Source organism: Homo sapiens, chromosome 17, assembly GCF_000001405.40.
Source record: "Homo sapiens chromosome 17, GRCh38.p14 Primary Assembly".
Lineage (NCBI taxonomy): Eukaryota > Metazoa > Chordata > Mammalia > Primates > Hominidae > Homo > Homo sapiens.
In genome coordinates, this window is record NC_000017.11 from 40388059 (window position 1) to 40408443 (window position 20385).

Genomic DNA, 20385 nt, shown 5'->3' on the forward strand with positions numbered 1-20385 from the left:
ACTCAAGATTACTTTTTTTATAGTTACTTTTTAAATAGTTTTTGACATTTAAATATTTCATCTATTTGAACTTAATTTTGGTGTAAGGTGTGAAAGAGATTTATCTGATTTTTTTTCTAAATGGATTAGCCAGTTGCCTCAATATATCTTACTGATACCATCAAGTAGTTGACTAGGTTATCAAAATAGTTGTTAAAGGAAGGTATCATTAAAAAAAAAAGATACATGCATATTTACTGATCAAGTGTGGTGGAGATGAAGAACTTAGTCCTCATGTATAAAATCTCAATAAAGAGTCTTTGGCCTTAATTAGGTCTTAATGCCTATCTCTTGGACTTATCACCTTAGCCAGAGGCTGTAAGGTCTGTCACAATATGATTGGAATGCTTCTGAAAGGGAAGTGAAGACTATATTTTAGAATAAGGAAAAGGGTGTAGTGTGTGTTTTAAAAGAGGCATTCTATGGGTTGCAATGTTTAGAACATTTTATTAAAGTACAAAATTGTTGGAATTTAGCTAATAGAAAAACATAGTAAATATTTACAAAAACGTTGATAACATTACTCAAGTCACACACATATAACAATGTAGACAGGTCTTAACAAAGTTTACAAATTGAAATTATGGAGATTTCCCAAAATGAATCTAATAGCTCATTGCTGAGCATGGTTATCAATATAACATTTAAGATCTTGGATCAAATGTTGTCCCCGAGTCTTCTGCAATCCAGTCCTCTTAGAAATTGGTTTCTCTCTTTGGGAGATTCAGACTCAGAGGCAGCCAGAGGGGACAGGTCAAGAGCTGAAATAATCACATAACTACTCTAATTTTCTTCATTCTATTGACTGTGTCAAGTTATAGACACAGCCAAAGTGTTTTTCTTCGGCCTCTGATGATTTGAGAAGATGAAGAACATGAGCAATTTCTCATTGCTTAAAGAAAAACTTGGCACATAAGAGGCTGAGTGTAGTAGAGTATCTGTACTAGAACCATAAAGTTCTATCTGATGGTAAATTATGTATAAAACTAAGATAAAACAGATAATTATGCTCTATCTCATATCTACTGAAAGTAGAAAAGGAGGAAGAGTGACACTTTTAAATCAAACTGCTCTAGTTTTAGCTTAGTGGATGGTTAATAAACACACTGCTTTACGCTGAAGTGATCAGATAGCTATTTCTACAGTTCAGAAGAACTTAAAAATCAGGTTTTAAAGACAAAAGAAAGCAGACTCAAAACACAGACAAAGCAGAGAAGAAAACAATGCCCATGAGATGGTCACTATTTAGACAGTATTATAAAAAGCTAAAGAACACTTGGGCTTTACTTCACTTTGATGTCTTGTACTAAAAACACCTTCCCCAAACTAAATTCAGAGGGGAGGAAGTTAAGAGCTTCAGGTAACTTTAAAACCAGTCTTGGGCTTGGTAAGATAATTACTTAAAATAATCGCCTCACATTTTAAAACAGATCATCTTCATCTGACTCTTCCAGGTACTTTATAGGTTTCTTTGCCCGTACAGATTTTGCCCGAGGAGCCACAGCTGAGTCAAAGTCCATATGGAAGTCATCACTCTCCCCCTTGGATTTCTAAAAGAGAAAAGCCCAGGTAACTTGCACATTGTAAATCTGACAACATAATTGTAATGTAAAAAAATGTATCAAGACACTATATTCAAGGAGTTTTCTATTTTCTACCAAGTAATAAGAAGCAGATCTAAGGCCAACTCTTCCATTGCCCAAATAAGTGGCATATTTAACTTTGTTAAAACTAAATATGTACAGTAAAAGCTAACAGAATATGAGAGTTAATTTTCTTAAAGATATGCCAAATTTTTAAGAGCAATGGCTTAGTTACGTGTTTCAGAACATCTACAGCAAAAGGACTGACTAGGATCAACACTCACCTTGCTTGTGACTGCTTTCGAAACAATTTTCTCAAAATTAGAGTCAGAATCATCAGAAGTGGATGGCTTCCTTTTGCGGCGATTCTTGGTTTTGGCAGGATCAGGCTTTTGAGAGACACCAGAATTCAAAGCTGGATCCCTTTTAGTTCCTTTTGGGGCAGCCCTTTTTTTGGCACCGGTAGTGGAGGTGGAAGACTGACCTGCAATTCAATACAGGCATTTGTCACAGCTGCTCTTTTTTTGAGATGGGGTCTCACTCTATCGTCCAGGCTGGAGTGCAGTGGTGTTATCTCGGCTCACTGCAACCTCTGCCTCCTGGGTTCAAGCGATTCTCCTGCCTCAGCCTCCTGAGTAGCTGGGATTACAGGCGTGTGCCACCACACCCGGCTAATTTTTTGTATTTTTAGTAGAGATGGGATTCCACCATGTTGGTCAAGCTGGTCTCAAACTCCTGACCTCAGGTGATCCACTCGCCTCGGCCTCCCAAAGTGCTGGGATTACAGGCATGAGCAACCGCGCCTGACCTAGTCACAGCCACTCTTAGATGAATTGTTCTCATTGCGAACTTTCTTCAGCAATGTGATGACTGTATATTTAACATAGGAAAAGACAATCTAAGAGAGGTGAAAACAGAGAATCAAAGTATTCTTAAACATTCTATTTTTTTTTTTTTTTTTTTGAGACAGCATCTTGCTCTATCTCGCCCAGGCTGGAGTGCAGTGGCACGATCTCGGCTCACTGTAGCCTCTGCCTCCTGGGTTCAAGTGATTCTCCTGTTTCAGCCTCCCGAGTAGCTGACTACAGGCATGTGCCACCACACCTGGCTAATTTTGTGTTTTTAGTAGAGATGAGGTTTCACTATGTTGGCCAGGCTAGTCTCGAACTCCTGACCTCAGGTGATCCACCCACCTTGGCCTCCCAAAGTGCTGGGATTACAGGCATGAGCCACTGCACCCAGCCTTAAACTTAATTCAATTTCAAGAATACGTTTTACGTTAAACATTGCAATTGCTTATAAATCCTATCCTTGTCACAGAAATGAACTAGATGAAGCCTGGTACTGAGAGAAACTCACTGATTTTAAACATTTGGACTACCTTATTTTTGGAGACAGGGTCTTGCTCTCTCACTCAGGCTGGAGTGCAGTGGCTTGATCATATAGCTCACTGCAGCCTTGAACTCCTGGCCTCAAGCAATCCTCTTGTTTTAGCCTCCCAAAGTGCTGGGATTACAGGCATGAGCCACTCTGCCTGGCTTTTGTTTTGTTTTTTGACTAGTCAAGTGCAGTAGTGAGAAGGAGGGAAAAGAGTAGAACAAGGAGTTTGATCTGTAACTGAACAATCAATAGAGATAACTTACTGTTTTGGAACAGCCTTGACTACTAATTTTGATTATAAAGATCGAAAAGAAATTGCTTCCAATTGGAAAACATTTAATCTGTAATATCAATAGTAAGTTTTGGCAATAAAAAAATTGAAATAGACACGTGGAAACCAGTTAGGTAATTGCAACATTAACCCATCTCAAAGATTTAGGCTTACTTTTTGCTGCTGTCTTCTTCACTGTCACATTCTTTTTAGGAACTGGGTTTGTAATTTCAGTTTCATCTGGGAAATGTGTAGCAGGAGGGCTTGAAGACAGTGGTACACTGCCCTTAACATCATCAGCTTCAAGGTCTATTATTTCAAATGGAAAGGAAAATAGTACATTTAAGCAACACATGAAAATCCATTTTCTGCTTTGTCCCTGGTATGAATTCCTATTTAAACACCAAATATGTGACTTTTCTGGAATATTTAAAACATACTCTTAAAACTTTGTTCTAATTTCTGAATTTTTTATCAGCAAGAACAGTTTTTATTTTTTGTATCTCTAGCACCTAGCAAAGTACCTGGCAAGCACTATGATTACTTTTAGTATACTGAATGCAGTACCTATTTACATGTGAAACTAAACCCAGTGAACAGTATCAACATAATGTTAATAAGAACTCAAATTTATTTCCAAAGGAAGTACTTGGATAATGTAGCCAGGATTAGAACCCAGTTGGATCTGAGTGTCCCAGTAAGGCAGATGTCTCACTACTTTTACTTAAATACATACCTGACACGACACTTTTCTGTGGTTTCAGTTCTTTGTTACTAAGTCTAGAATTAAAAAAAAAAATCCTGACAACCAATTCTAAATGTGTCAAGCAAAAAACAATATATTAGAAACAATCATGACAAAACCCATATTAGATAAGATACTTGCTTTGGGGAAGTTTTGGTCTTAGGTGGACTAGCATCTGATGGGACAAAATCTTCATCATCAGTTTTTTCATCAAAATCTGAGAAATCTTCATCTGAATCCAAATCCATTGTGAATTTTGTTTTTGCTAGTAAAAAAACCATATACAAAAAAATCAAAGAGGGTAGTAGGAGAAACAATTCATAGGTTGACATAACATTTCATGAATATTTTAGTTTTTAAATCTCCTGAAAGATGCTTCAGTGTTTCAAAGCTTTAACATAATTTACTGCTCTATTAAGACACAGTAATTTCTGGGGCAAAGTACCCTGAAGTATATTGGCCATTCCACTCTTACAGTTTATCTATAATGTTCTTTAGTTTTCCTTACTTGCTGCTCTCCGTGGCTCTGTTTCTCGTGGAGGGACATCAAAATTACTTTCGTCACTGCTCCTATCTGATTCTGAATCAGACCAGGGATTTCTCTTCTTTCCTTTTTTGATTGGCTTAAATGCCAATGTAGTTTGTTTCTTTGTCTTTGTACCTAGAGGGGAGATAGAAATTAATCACCTTTATATATTAGACCCACTTTTCTCCATCTATCATCCATCCATCCTTCAAATTTATTAACTCCTGTGATAGTTCTGAGAATACAATCGTGAAAAGAGACAGATATGGTCTCTGTTTTTGTGGTGCATATAGCTTGGTCACTTAATCTCATAAATAAATGTGGCCGGGCACAGTGGCTCATGCCTGTAATCCCAGCACTTAGGGAGGCTGGGGCGGGAGGATTACTTGAGCCCAGGGGTTTGAGATCAGCTGGGGTAAGATATAAGACCCTGTCTTGGCTGGGTGCGGTGGCTCACACCTGTAATCTCAGCACTTTGGGAGGGTGAGGTAGGCGGATCGCTTGAGCTCAGGAGCTAAAGACCAGCCTGGTCAACATGGCAAAACCCCATCTCTACAAAAAATACAGAAATTAATGGGCATGGTGGAGTGCGCCTGTGGTTCCAGCCACTAGGGAGGCGGAGGCAGAGGCAGGAGGATTGTTTGAGCCTGGGAGGTCGAGGCTGCAGTGGGCTGTGATCATGCCACTGTACTCCAGCCTGGGAGACAGAGTGAAATCTTGTCTCAAAAAAAGAAAAAAAAAGAAAAAAGGACTGTCTCTACAAAATACAAAAAACTTTTAGAAATTAGCTAGTCATGGTGGCGAGTGCCTATAGTCCCAGCTACTTGGGAGGCTGAGATAGAAGGATTGCTTGAGCCAGGATTTCAAGACCAGCCTGGGCAAGAGTGAAACCCTGTCTCAAAAAAAGTAGATACTCAAGGACATATATAGCTCAATCAGTGGAACAGAATTGAGACTCCATACATAAACCTTAACATTTATAGTCAATTGATTTTTGACAAGGGTGAAGACAAACATTGTAGAAAGAAGTCTTTTTAACATATGATACTGAAATAATTGGATATCTACCTGCAAAGAATCAGGTTGGACACCTTCCTTACACCATATACAAAAACTAATTCAAAGTGGATCACAGACCTAAATGTAAGAGCTAAAACTATAAAATGCTTAGAAGAAAACACAGAGGTTTACCTTCACGGGCTTAGCAAAATGGGAGGCCGAGGTGGGCAGATCGCTTGAGGTCAGGAGTTTGAGACCATCCTGGCCAACATGGTGAAACCCTGTTTCTACTAAAAATACAAAAATTATTTGGGCATGGTGGTGCGTGCCTGTAATCCCAGCTCCTCGGGAGGCTGAGGCAGGAGAATTGCCTGAACCTAGCAGGCGGAGGTTGCAGTGAGCCGAGATCTCACTACTACTGCATACTGCATGCCAGCCTGGGCGACAGAGCGAAACTCTGCCTCAAAAAAAAAAAAAAAAAAAGAATGAAGTACTAATATATGGGCTGCCACATGGGTTACCCTTGAAAATGTGTTAAGTAAAGAAGTCAGCTCCAAAAGACCACATATTATATGATTTAATTTATAGGAAATGCCCCTAGATTTTTTAGTGGTCACCCAGTGGAGAGGAGTTGGTGGCAAATGGCAAATGATTGTTAATGAGTTCAGTTTTCTTGGGGGGCAATAAATTGTATTAAAACTGTTTGTCTATACTAAAACCACTGAATGGCATACTTTATTTTTATTTTTGAGTTGGAGTCTTGCTCTGTCACCCAGGCTGGAGTGCAATGGCACAGTCTTGGCTCTCTGCAACCTCTGCCTCCTGGGTTCAAGCGACACTCGTGCCTCAGCCTCTCGAGTAGCTGGGACTACAGGCACGCACCACCACACTCAACTAATTTTTGTATTTTTAGTAGAGATGGGGTTTCACCATGTTGGCCAGGGTGGTCTTGAACTCCTGACCTCAAGTGATCCGCCAGCCTCAGCCTCCCAAAGTGCTGGGATTACAGGCATAAGCCATGGCGCCCAGCCAAATGGTATACGTTAAATGGGCAAATTTGGCATGTGAATATCTCAATAAAGATGTTTCAAAAAAAGTAGACAGTAAAGGCATTATCAAATGATTAACAGAATTATTAATTCTATTTAGTTCATTGAGTGGACATTATTTATATCCGAAGCATGATGTTGAACTCTAGAGATACTACAAACATTACTAATATGTAGTCACTTTTCTTAAGAAACTTTGTATACTAGAACCTCGTAAGTGGCTAGAAAATGAAATCTAATAAACTGGGTATTTTCTTAGATCCCAATTAAGGAATTCAAATTAACAAACTACTTCATTACAAAATATTTTCTATAATGAATCAAATCCCAAGGACGATATTAAAGAGGTCCAGGCCAGGGGCAGTGGCTCACGCCTGTAATCCCAGCACTTTGGGAGGCCAAGGCGGGCAAATCACAAGGTCAGGAGTTTGAGACCAGCCTGACTAACATGGTGAAACCCCGTCTCTACTAAAAATACAAAAAGCAGCCAGGCGTGGTGGCATGCACCTATAATCCCAGCTACTCAGGAAGCTGAGGCAGGAGAATCGCTTGAACCCAGGAGGTGAAGATTGCAGTGAGCCGAGATTGTGCTATTGCACTCCAGCCTGGGCAACAAGAGTGAAACTGTCTCAAAAAAAAAAAAAAAAAAAAAAAGAGGTCCAAGTAGAATTGAGATACAGTCCTCTTTCACGTTTCTCAATTCAACAAAAAGGTTTTGAACATCTATGTGGAATGTACTAGGTAACAAACACAATTTAATCTTCACTTTATACCATTTTTCTAAAAATGTTGTAATACCTGGTTCTCTTTTCTGTTTCTTTTCTAATCTTTGTTTTAGGCCTTCTAGTTCCACACCATCTTCTTGAGGGCTTCCTTCAGTATTTTCATTCTAAAAGATAGCAAAGTTAGGGTTGGATATAGAATAAATTCTGAACTATGGGATTAGAGATTTTATACATTTTTGGCTGGGAGCGGTGGCTCACGCCTGTAATCCCAGCACTTTGGGAGGCCGTGGTGGGCAGATCTCTTGAGGTCAGGAGTTCGAGACCAGCCTGGCCAAGATGGTGAAACCCCATCTCTACTAAAAATACAAAAATTAGCTGGGTGTGGTGATGTGCCCCCAACTACTTGGGAGGCTGAGGCACGAGAATCGCTTGAATACGGGAGGCGGAGGTTGCTGTGAGCTGAGATCCTGCCATTGCACTCCAGCCTGGGTAACACAGCGAGACTCCATCTCAACAACAACAACAAAAAAATTTTATACATTTTTTTTTCAATTTTAAGTGGACATATGCATCAATATTTTATGCATAATATTTTTAAGAGTATTACCTCTTTTTTTTTTTTGAGATGGAGTTTTGCTCTGTTGGCCAGGCTGGAGTGCAGTGGTGTGACCTTGGCTCACTGCAACCTCTGCCTCCCGGGTTCAAGCGATTCTTCTGCCTCAGTCTCCCGAGTAGCTGGGATTACAGGCGCCTGCCACCATGCCCGCCTAATTTTTTTAATTTTTAGTAGAGACAGGGTTTCAACCATGTTGGGAGGCTGGTCTTGAACCACTGACCTCAAGTGATCCACCCACCTTGGCCCCCAAAGTGCTGGGATTATAGGTGTGAGCCACCACAAGAGTATTACCTTAATTTTCTTTTTATTTTTCTTTTCTGCCTCTGCTTTCATTTCTATGGTTATTCGTGGAATGACTCTTTGACCACGCGGAGAAGGCAAAACTTCAGCCATTTGTGTTTTTTTCCCCTTGGCCTTCCCCCCTTTCCCAGGAAGTCCGACTTGTTCATCTTGTTTTTCCTTGGCTTCAACAGCCTACAGAAGGGATATAAGAAAGCAAGTTTAAATGTTAACAAAAACATTACAATATCTAAACACCCAACAGTTAAACTGATTTCATTTTGTTACATCTTAAAAACTAGTGATAAATTGCTCCATAACCTAGTATACTATCAACAATAGTGAAGATGTAATTAAAACACACCTTGAAAAGGAAGGTGTGGAGACAGAAGGACTGGGTTTTATTCCTGATTCTACCACTTAACCTTTTTGAGGAAAACAAGGGAGAAACTAAAAATAAAACATGTATATACATATATATTTGTAAACTCACATACAAAATATGAAAGGAAGTGATGCACACTTATCCAACCAACTGATTACAATGAGCTAGGCATCTATACTGAAGTGCAGTAATACAAATTTGCATGTTAAATTTAAGAAATAAAGCTTTTGGTGGTTTTTTTTTTGTTTTTTTTTTTTTAAGAGACACGCAGGCTGAGTACAATGGTACATGATCATAGTTCACTGCAGCCTTGAACTCCTGGTCTCAAGTGATCCTCCCACCTTGGCCTCCGGAGTAGCTGAGACTATAGGCCCACACCACCATGCCTGGCTATTTAAAAAAAACATTTTGTAGAGATGAGGTCTTGCTACGTTACCCAAGCTGGTTTTGAACTCCTAATCTCAAGTGATCCTCCTGCCTCAGCCTCCCAAAGCACATTGGGATTACAGGTGTGAGCCACAGTGCTGGCCTTTTTTCTTATGTTAAAATAATGTTGAGAAACAAATGTTATTAGGAAGATTTAAGTAACAAATAACCTTCTGAAACCATCTGGATAGCCCTGCTTTCTCCTTTTTTTTTTTTTTTTTTTAGATGGAGTCTTGCTCTGTCACCCAGGCTGGAGTACAGTGGCGCAATCTCGGCTCACTGCAACTTCTGCCTTCTGGGTTCAAGCAATTTTCTTGCCTCAACCTCCTGAGTAGCTGGGATTACAGGCGGATGCCACCACACCCAACTAATTTTTGTATTTTTAGTAGAGACAGGGTTTCACCATGTTGTCCAGGCTGGTCTCGAACTCCTGACCTCAAGTGATCTGCCCACCTCAGCCTCCCAGAGTGCTGGGATTACAGGCATGAGCCACCATGCCCTGTGGCTTTGTCCTTTTAAGTTGACTTGGGGGACTGGGTTGGTGGTCTTCTTCCACATTTAGGCTCTTTTTATCTTCTCAGTCCTAATATGTTCTTCCCTTTATCAAAAATCAACTCCTGCTCTTTTCTTTTTTTGTCCAGAAATGTCTGAATGTCTGGGCAGTCTCCTGGTATCATTTACTGTATTCTAAATAGTATTTTTTTTTTTTTTTTTGAGACGGAGTTCCACTCTTGTTGCCCAGGCTGGAGTGCAATGGTGTGATCTTAGCTCACAGCAACATCTGCCTCCCGAGTTCAAGTGATTCTCCTGCCTCAGCCTCCCAAGTAGCTGGGATTACAGGCATGTGCCACTACGCCTGGCTAATTTTGCAATTTTAGTAGAGACAGGGTTTCTCCATGTTGGTCAGGCTGGTCTCGAACTCCCAACCTCAGGTGATCTGCCTGCTTCGGCCTCCCAAAGTGCTGGGATTGTAGGTGTGAGCCACCGCACCCGGCCTTGTATTCTAAGTAGTATTTAATAATCTGTCCCTTTTTTTTTTTTTTTTTTTTTGAGACGGAGTCTTGCTGTGTTGCCTAGGCTGGAGTGCAGTGGTGTGATCTCGGTTCACTGCAACCTCTGCCTCTCGGTTCAAGCAATTCTCCTGCCTCAGCCTCCTGAGTAACTGGTATGCACCATCATGCCTGGCTAATTTTTGTGTTTTTAGTAGAAATGGGGTTTTACCATGTTGGCCAGGCTGGTCTTGAACCCCTGACCTCAAGTGATCCACCCAACTCAGCCTTCCAAAATGCTGGGATTACCAGCGTGAGCCACTGCACCTGGCCAATAATCTGTTCTTTTATACGCTATTTGGAATTTATCCTTATGCCTCTTATTTTCTTTTTATTGCCAATTGTGAACTATCTTGACAAAGGTATACTGCTGGAATATATTATTTCATTAATAAAAATTCTAACATGGGCATTATAAACTACATACCTCCAATTCTTCAATAAATGTAGCCAAGTCTTCTTTCCACAAATCTGATGGACTCTTTCTTTTTAATGTGTCCAGCTCTTGTTCCTTCATAAGATAATTACAAAATTGAGTTAATATATGTATACAAGCAGCATTTTCATGCAACACACAATTTTACTTTTACCATTAGAATAGAACAAAACTAAGCAGCATGTACCATCCTACTATCAACTCACTTTTTCATTTCTTAGCCTGCAGAGTTCATCTTTCTTTTCCTTGGTTAAATACCAAAGGGGCATATCAAGAAGATAGTTGAAGGTTGGTCCAGAATCTGTTACGGAGTCACTCTTTTCAGTTTCCTTTTCGTTGTCACTCTCTTCATTTTCTTCTTCATCTGGAACCTAAAGGATTAATTAAAATCTAGCTTTATTAGAAAATGTGAAACATAAACATTGTACAATACATAGTCTTTAACAATATAGAAAAGTGCCACCCAAGATTACCTTTTGCTGGGCTTCTTTCCAGGCCTTCACAGGATCCGAATCATATCCCCTCTGAATCAGAACTTTAATTAATTCTTTCTTAGGCTTATTTTCTATTTTTAAAAAAGTAAACAGAGATAATGATTTTGAGTAATATTTTAGGAAGGGGATAAGGTTTTACACAAGTCAAAAGTTTAAAACTGGAAATTAAACTGTCTTCGTGCTTGCATAAATTTGTATATCCCGGTATACAGGCAAGTCTCCCTAAACCATTGACAAATGTAAATTACCACAAGGGGGCAGTCAAATCATATATGATCAAATCATTTTTTTTTGGAGACAGGGTCTCTCTCACTCTTGTGTCCAGGCTGGAGTGCAGTGGCACTACCTAGGCTCACTGCAGCCTTGACCTCCCCAGCTCAAGTGCTGAGATTACAGGCATGCGCCACCACACCCAGAGAGTAGAAGCCATTCGTAATCTTCCTGCCTTTTTTTTTTTTTACCATCAGATTTATTATCTCTTCTCTGTCTCTTTTATTTTCTGTTCCTGTAGACATGATTAGTGTATCTATTCTCTTGGTCAATCAGTTTATGCAAGGTCTTCTAGCTCTCTATTCTCCTCATGTCTAATTGTCAACTAAATCTTGATTTCTCAAGATGCTCAGTCAAGGAAACATCATCTCTTTCAAACTATAAATACCTAATCAGATATTTTAAAGAAATGCGTGTATAAGTGACCAGGTGAATTAAATGGATTTTGCCTCTTTCTCCACCATTACTCTCACCAAAAATGTTTAAAGAAAGTTTGGCGTAACTAGAGTTTTAGTAAGCAGTTATTATTCCCAAAACATACCAATGATTATTTTGCCATCTATTTTCTCTAAGATAAAGCGAGCCTGATTATTCAGTTTAGCAGATTCAGCACCAAGCATTCCTAGGAGCCATTCTTTTCTTAATCCATAATATTTAAGTCTGAGTTCAAAAAAGTCTCTTAGAATATCCAACACCGTGTCATATTTCTTTAAACAGCCTACGTGGTCAAAAAGCACCTGAAAAAGGAAAACAAGATTAGAGCCAAGAATAGACAAATTGGCTAAACTTTATAAAGGTAGACTAAGATATACTTTTAAAATTGATATTAATCTTTAATATAAATTGAAACGTGTACATCTCACAAAACAAATACATACCATAGAGTTGCATGTGAGACTAGTTTGGAGTTTGAAGACTTTGTGTAGTCCAACTCTCTCTGCCTCTGCCAGTTTTTCTTCAGTCATCTTCACAACAAATTTCACAGTGGTATCTGTATGGTATTCCCTATAGTCTGTTATGAGAGGAGGTGTCTTCTCGGTGCCATTCAACATGGGTTCTAGAACTTGTTCTTTGTATGTCTAAAGAAAGAAATAATCCTGAAGTTTCTAAAATATAGGCTTCTGAATAGTCAACAGCAATAGTACAAAAGGTATTTCTTTTGATCACAAACCTAAAAAAGAAATCCATAATTATTTACCTGGGTCCATGTTCTGACGGGAAGCTCTGAGATTTCAATGGTTGTAGAATTAAGAATAGCTACTTCACCACTAATCACATATTGATTTGGAGCCAGTTCTTCAATAGTACCCTTGAAGTTCTTGTAACTTGGAAGCTAAATTGGCATTTAAAAAAACAGTATGTTTTCTAAATGTGATACTAGACGGAAATCACAACAGCGTTTAACAATAAATCTAAAGTATGAAATTAAATTTTATGTTTGCATCATCTTTAATCATACAATCTATTCAACTGAAACCCAAGGAAAAGTTAAGGCTCTTAACACACACAGAATACTTACCATTGGCAAAGGTTCTTCTCCATCCATCAAACGCCTGATGTTATTTACAATTTCACGCACATCAAAGTTGGGGATTTTGCAGGACCACCCAGTACCGATTCCTTCAGCACCATTTATCAGCACCATGGGAATAATAGGAATGTACCATTCAGGCTCAACACGCTGGTTGTCATCATATAAAAACTTCAACGTGTGATCATCTTTTGGTGGAAATAACAATCGAGCCAAAGAGCTAAAGAAAAGAAACAAAGAATGTTATTTTACAAAAATACTGAATTTCACACTTAACTTTTATGGAAAGGACATGTATTATACATGAAAATTATCTTGGTTTTACTTGCTGACTAATATACATTTAACAATATTTATTGAGCACTTGCTATGTGTCACGCACATGGACATAAAGTCTCAATCCTCAAGGAGCTCACAGTCCAGTAGAAGTTTGCAATTAACACATATTTTGTTAGGTGGTGGGATAAACAAGAGAAGAAAAAGTGGGAAAGTGACTGAAGAGGTGCTAAGGAAAGTTAAGCCGTTTCTGATAGGAAAACATTTGAGCAGAGAAAAGACACTGAGGGCGCCAGGTGCAGTAACTCGCGCCTGTAATCCCAGCACTTTGGGAGGCTGAGGGAGGCAGATCACCTGAGGTCAGGAGTTCAAGACCAACCTGGCCAACATGGTGAAACCTCATCTCTACTAAAAATATAAAATTAGCTGAGCATGGTGGCGTGTACCTGTAATCCCAGCAACACGGGAGGCTGAGGCAGGAGAATCACTTGAACCCAGGAGGCAGAGGTTGCAATGAGCCGAAATTGCGCCACTGCACTCCAGCCTGGGCAAAAAGAGCAAAACTCCATCTCAAAAGAAAAAAAAACAACAAAAAACAAACTGAGGGACTGAACCATGTGGATATCTAGAGAAAGAGTGTTGCAGGCAAAGGAACCAGTAAGTAAAAGGCCCTGAAGAGGAAATGTGCTCGGTATATTTGAGTATAGGCCAAGGACAGTGTGGCTGGAGAGGAGATGGTATGAGAAGGAATCAAAAGACATGGAAGGTGGGGACACGGATCACATAATGTCTGGTTAGCTAAAATAGGTCTTTAGATTTTACTCTGAGCAGTTGAAGGTTCTGAATCAGAGTGACTTATTTTTTAAAAAATAATTGGCTGCTTTAAGAAAAGATGATATGTTACAATAGTTTAGATGAGATGGGGGTGGCTTAGTATTTTTCCAATGCAGATCCTATAGGATTGGCTGAGGAACTGGATGTTAAGTATCAAGCAAAGGAGTCAAGGGTGACAAGGTTTTTAGCCTGAGCAATTAGAAGGATGGCATGGCATTCCATTTACTGAGACAGGAAAACTAAGGATTTGGTTTTAGACTTATGTTTGAGATACTTAACTAGATATCCAAGTGGGAAATGTTAAGAGGGCAGTCAGACATAAAAGTTGGGAGTTCAGGGGAGAGACCAAGACTGGAGATTTAAAGGTATAGAACGGATGAATGGGAGATCATTTGGGAATTGAGTGTAGGCATTGGAAAGAGATCTGATGAAGGAGCCCTGGAATGGGCCAGTATTTAGAGGTTGGGAAGGTGAGAAGGACCCAGCAGAGAAAGCTAATAAGGTAGAAGAGAACCAGAAGAGTCTACAGTCATAGAGGCCAAATAAAGAGTTTCAAGAAGGATGGAGCAATTAGTAACTGTTTGAATGCCACTGAAAGGGTGACTGGGATGACAGCTGAAAATTGACCATTCATAATATACTTTCCATAGGCTTGTAAAGGAGTAAAATTTCAATTGTGATATTTAGGAAGAATCAAAGTCTCCTTTACTCAGTCCCAAGCTCTACATCAGGATTTCTCAACCTTAGCATAATTGACATGTTGCACTGGATAATTGTTATGGGGGGGCTTTCCTGTATAAGCCTCACCCCTGGCCTCTGCCACTAGATGCCAGTATCTTCTGATTAACTGAGTTTTTGTATTTTTGGTGAACTAAATCTCACATTGTTTCAAAACTGGAAATGGCAAGTCACTAGAAAGTGAAAGCATACCTACCTGAGCATTGTAAAGATGTATCGTGGACTAGCAGAATCCTTGCCACCATGTAGCCTGGTACCAAACTGACCAATGGGCTGCAAGAGGTTTAGATTATTGCTACCCACAAAATTCTGAGCCAAATTGATAATGGTCATCATTAGTGACATCTGTGGGGAAAAAAAGATTCATTAAGCTGAGGCTTTTACTAATACAAATACATTATGACTTAACCTCACTATAATCCTGTAACATTTTGTGAGGTCTAGTTGTTTAGTGACTTTCCTCAGATTAATAGATGGCAGAAATAGTACTTGAACCTACAACTTCTGGCTCCAAGTTTAGGGCTGCCGTCCAACAATTTCTATTAAATCCCACTCAACTTTGAAGGCATAGTTCTTCTCCTTATCCTCAGCAAAATGAAATATTTCCTCCTTTGTGTTACAATGCTGTGTTCATTTCTATTCTAGCATGTATCACTTTATTCTATAGCTGTGTGTGTATTGGCCCTCTGGCTAAATTGTTATTATATCTTGGGGATAAGGAACATATTTTTATTTATTTTTGTATACCTGGTACATGGTAGGCATTCAACAAATGTTCGTTGGGTGAAAATTTATTGTATCCCTACTATATTTTGATTGAAAGCAACAAGACAACCATTATATTTAAAATTCTAGAAACCTGTAGGCAATCTAGTTCTTTAAAACTGTTTTACATAATTAATGCAAAAAGTAATCACAAAACATTGGTGTAAAGTCAAACAATTCAGACACATATAAAAAGTGAAAGTTGCCCTTTCCAGTTCTCAGGGGTAACTAAAGTGAACAATTTGGAACATATCCTTGTAGACATTTTTAGTTATTGTTCTGTCTCTTTTTTTCCTCACCTGAGAATAGACCCTGGATATTCCTCAGTGTCAGTGCACACAGTTTTACTGAAGTTACAGCACTGATTCCATGCATACATGTGTCACAATTTATTATAACAATTTTCAAATCAGTGGAGGTCTAAATTTTGACATCACAAAGTTATAATAAACATACTAAGCATTTTTTAATGTAGACCTTTGCAGACTTATGAATATCCCTGCAGGAATATTACTTTCAGAAATCAAAGGGCAAGCAGTTTTATTCTTTCACAGGTTTTACCAACTTGTTCTTTACTATGAATATATGAGCTTATACTTTCACCAAATCTGTTTTGAGAATGACTCTGCAGGGATTTCTGATATAATGCTTTCTGGAAACATGGATTGTGTGTTTACCTCACCATGATGATAAGAAGACATTTCAGCCACTGATCCAGCTAATTGGGCAACCTTTACTTCTCGCTTGTCATTCCGTTTGAAGCAAGTAAACAAAACCTTTCTCTGACCTGGTTTCAAACCTTTAAAATGAAATAAGAGCAAACGTAAGTATCCTCAATTTAACCAATTTTGGAATTTGATTTCCATCTTACAATGAAAACAGACTAACAAATTGGAACTCACCATCCACCATAGAAGGGATAGATCTCTCGTTATCAGAATTTGAGAACAAGATAAGTTCCTTGTTGATGAAGTCATTATATGTCAGATATGTGGTAGTTTGTCCATACAAGTAATCCTGAAGGACCAAATAGTATTACATGAGTCTACCGGTCTAAACAATGCTCAACACAAAAATCAAACAGAAACCTTTCAGAACTAAGAATTATTTCTGTAATTCTTAAGTCTTTAAAAAATATTGAATAATACAGAAATATTTTATATGTTTTAAAGATAAAGCAAATTTAACTGCTGCACAACTCTATCATATCAAATTTTTTACTAAAATAACTATTCAGTAAGTTTAATTTGCTATAGTATCAATACCAAAAGGTCAGTCTAACAATCCATTTTGTGGCATATATTTAAAACTTTTACCTCAGGAAGCCCAAGTAACTTTCGTTGTCTTCTATCCTCCATGAAATTAGTTAACCATTCCTTTCGATCATCTATCTGTTTTTTGCTAAAGGCCTATAAATTAAAGGATGAAAAGATGTCACTGGTACTAATAGGCTAATAGGTTCCAAAATATCCTTCTACAAAGAACGAACAACAGAAAAACAAAAATACTGTTTTCCTTTTTTTTTTTTTTTGAGACGGGAGTTACTGTTCTCTTGCCCAGCCTGGAGTGCAATGGTGTCATCTTGGCTCACTGCAACCTCTGCGTCCTAGGTTCAAGCGATTCTCCTGCCTCAGCCTCCTGAGCCCCTGGGATTAAAGGCGCCCGCCACCACGCCCAGCTAATTTTTGTATTTTTTTTTTTTTGAAATGGAGTTTCACTCTTGTGGAATGTGATGGCACGATTTCGGCTCCCACAACCTCCACTTCCCAAGTTCAAGTGATTCTCCTGCCTCAGCCTCCCGTGTAGCTGGGATTACAGGCACGTGCCACCACACCCAGCTAATATTTTGTATTTTTAGTAGAGATGGGGTTTCACCATGTTGGTCAGGCTGGTCTTGAACTCCCGAGCTCAGGTGATCCACCCGCCTCGGCCTCCCAAAGTGCTATGATTACTGGTGTGAGCCACTGCGCCCGACCTTTTTTGTTTTTTTTTTTTTTTGAGACAGAGTCTCGCTCTGTCGCCCAGGCTGGAGTGCAGTGGCACCATCTCAGCTCACTGCAAGCTCCGCCTCCTGGGTTCACGCCATTCTCCTGCCTCAGCCTCCGGAGTAGCTGGGATTACAGGCGCGTGTCACCAAGCCCGGCTAATTTTTTATTTTTTATTTTTTTTTATTTTTAGTAGAGACGGGGTTTCACCGTGTTAGCCAGGATGGTCTCCATCTCATGACGTTGTGATCTGCCCGACTTAGCCTTCCAAAGTACTGGCATTACAGGCGTGAGCCACCACGCCTGGCCTTTTTCCTTTTTTTTTGAGATGGAGTCTCACTCTGTTGCCCAGGCTGGAGAGCAGTGGCCTGATCTCGGCTCACTGCAACCTCTGCCTCTCGGGTTCAAGCGATTCTCCTGCCTCAGCTTCCCAAGTAGCTGGGACTATAGCTGCGTGCCACCACGGCCGGCTAATTTTTTGTATTTTTAGCAGAGATGGGGTTTCACCTTGTTAGCCAGGATGGTCTTGATCTCCTGACCTTGTGATCTGCTCGCCTCTGCCTCCCAAAGTGCTGGGATTACAGGCGTGAGCCACTACGCTCGGCCAATTTTCGTATTTTTAGTAGAGAGGGGGTTTCACCATGTTGGACAGGTTGGTCTCCAACTCTTGATCTCAGGTGATCCACCTGCCTTGGCCTCCCAAAGTCCTAGAATTATAGGCATGAGCCACCAAGCCCAGCCAAAAATCAAAATTTTCTAAAATATCTGATTCCTTCTCTGGGATATGCTTACTGGAAACATTCTATTCTATAAAACATTCTTTTTTTTTTGATACGGAGTCTTATACAAAAATGTAAATGTTTCAACTGGCTAAAGTAGTGATTTCTAAAATTAGAATGTATATAAAATACAACTCAAACCTACCAGGCTGATAGCAGCATCATCTTCAGGACCAGAATATTTGAACTGGATACGATGTCTTTTCATATCTGCAAAGTATTCTTTAGCTTCCTTTGATGTGCTGGTGCCCAAACCTATAAAACCAAAAATACCAAGTTCCTTCATATAGTCTTGTACAGGGTGTATAATAAAATGAGAAGTTCTATATGGGTTTCATTACAAACCTTTGTAATATTTGACTTTCCATTTTTTATGATTTGGAGTAGAACTCTTCCACTCTTCAAATTCAGGAAGGCTGTAAAATGCCATTTCTTGCTTGTTTTTAGATACCTGTGATAAAAAACAATGACTGTGGCTTTGTACACTGTGGGGTCCCCTGTATACCACTACATGTGACGGGGCTTATATGTATATCCAGGTTTGAGGAGTAGGGTCTTAAAATATCCATGATGGTACTTAGAAATTAGCGTACCTTTACAATGGGAGTGATAAATTCCTCCAGAAAACGATGTCGCAGAAGAGAGGGCCAGTTGTGATGGATAAAATTAATCAGCAAGCCTTTGATGTGGGAACCATCTTGGTCCTAGAAAGATTTGAAAGCCAAAGTTCAAAAGAACTGTTAGGCTGGGCGTGGTAGCTAACATCTGTAATCCCAGAACTTTGGGAGGCCGAGGCAGGCGGATCGCCTGAGGTCAGGCGTTCGAGACCAGCCTGGCCAACATGGTGAAACCCTGTCTCCACTAAAAATACAAAAATTAGTTGGGTGTGGTGGCATCCGCCTGCAATCCCAGCTACTCGGGAGGCTGAGGCAGGAGAATCGCTTGAACCCATGAGGCGGAGGTTGCAGTGAGCCAAGATTGCACCATTGCACTCCAGCCTGGGCGACAAGGGCGAAACTCCATCTCAAACAAACAAAGAATTGTTTAGAAATAAAAAAATATTATGACTGACCTACTGGCAATTTGTCAAATTTTCTATGGGAATCAAAAAAGGTCTGTTCAAATCCAGACTCACTTAACCTGTATTTGCAACATACATATGATATAAGCATATCTGATTAGATGTTGATTAGAGATGATGAATAAAGCTCCTATTTAACTAATTTATTTTCATGGCAAAAAACAATGAAATTAAATTAAGACATGCTTAATTTAGTTGAACAATCTAAAAATTTAATAACAAATCTGACCTGATCTGTCATAATCATTATCTTCCCATAACGAAGCGTCTTCAATGAATCTTCATCTTCATAGTTTTTCTTGTACTGAAGACCCACAATCTTGATGATATTGTTAATCTCAGCATTTTCCATGATCTGAAATGGACATATACCAAAAAAAGCATCGTTTATAAATTTGAAAAGAACAAAGAAATTTAACAGTATATGTTGCTTGGATTTTCTTGAGCTCCAGTATTTTGAGCTATTAGCTTATAATTTACTACATCAGAAAGGTCTGTTAAAATAGGCTACAATGTACCTAATTTCTCAAAATAAGCACAAATTGTCTAAAATATATTTTAAAATGCCTAATGAGGGAATTAAATATAAGCATAAAGTCTTGTATTATAAATTAGATTTAGATTCTGAAGATCGTCTTATATTCTACCTGCTTATGAGAAGCTTCTCGAACATTGAGTATTTTTCCTCTAAGAGGGAAAACCCCATATTTGTCTCTCCCAACCACACCAAGGCCTGAAACAGCCAAAGTTTTGGCTGAATCTCCCTCAGTCAGGATAAGCGTACACTCAGTGGAGTTTCGGCCCCCTAAAATAAAAATATACATATTAATATTAGCACATTTAGTTCAACCTCAAATATACTAACTTGAACATGCTGTTTATAGCCTTGTGATAAAACACAATTTACTATATAATGAGCAAAATTATTTGTTAGGTAATAGATCATAATATAAACATTCTTGTTTTATACTCCAAAATAATCACCTCAATATTATTTATAACATGGAAATGACCTAAATCTTCCATAATAGGAAACGGGCCGATTTTTAACAAGTTATTCTGTTGAATATAGTTATTCTGTCAAGGGAAAAATAAATATCCGTGGTATGCCATTAATGAATAAA

The 20385-nt window shown here is 39.0% G+C and overlaps 1 protein-coding gene across 3 annotated transcripts in view; it reads right to left on the reverse strand.

The window, feature by feature from the left end:
- Positions 467-20385, reverse strand: part of TOP2A (DNA topoisomerase II alpha) — a 29372-nt gene continuing 9453 nt past the window's right edge. For 2 of the 3 annotated variants that reach the window (NM_001067.4, XM_005257632.2), the window contains exons 12-35: positions 19909-20066; positions 19491-19616; positions 18774-18884; positions 18526-18631; positions 18326-18435; positions 16733-16825; positions 16319-16433; positions 16094-16215; positions 14848-14996; positions 12792-13023; positions 12471-12605; positions 12151-12351; positions 11814-12009; positions 10982-11073; positions 10715-10879; positions 10500-10583; positions 8225-8407; positions 7391-7481; positions 4527-4679; positions 4160-4283; positions 4010-4053; positions 3448-3582; positions 1907-2106; positions 467-1589 (exon numbers count right to left, since the gene is read on the reverse strand). In NM_001067.4, the coding sequence (NP_001058.2) occupies positions 1461-1589; positions 1907-2106; positions 3448-3582; positions 4010-4053; positions 4160-4283; positions 4527-4679; positions 7391-7481; positions 8225-8407; positions 10500-10583; positions 10715-10879; positions 10982-11073; positions 11814-12009; positions 12151-12351; positions 12471-12605; positions 12792-13023; positions 14848-14996; positions 16094-16215; positions 16319-16433; positions 16733-16825; positions 18326-18435; positions 18526-18631; positions 18774-18884; positions 19491-19616; positions 19909-20066 (3254 nt within the window). In that variant the 3' untranslated portion in view covers positions 467-1460. Of the gene's footprint in view, positions 1590-1906; positions 2107-3447; positions 3583-4009; positions 4054-4159; positions 4284-4526; positions 4680-7390; positions 7482-8224; positions 8408-10499; positions 10584-10714; positions 10880-10981; positions 11074-11813; positions 12010-12150; positions 12352-12470; positions 12606-12791; positions 13024-14847; positions 14997-16093; positions 16216-16318; positions 16434-16732; positions 16826-18325; positions 18436-18525; positions 18632-18773; positions 18885-19490; positions 19617-19908; positions 20067-20385 lie in introns of those variants that run through there. The other variant, XM_011525165.3, reaches the window with a different exon arrangement.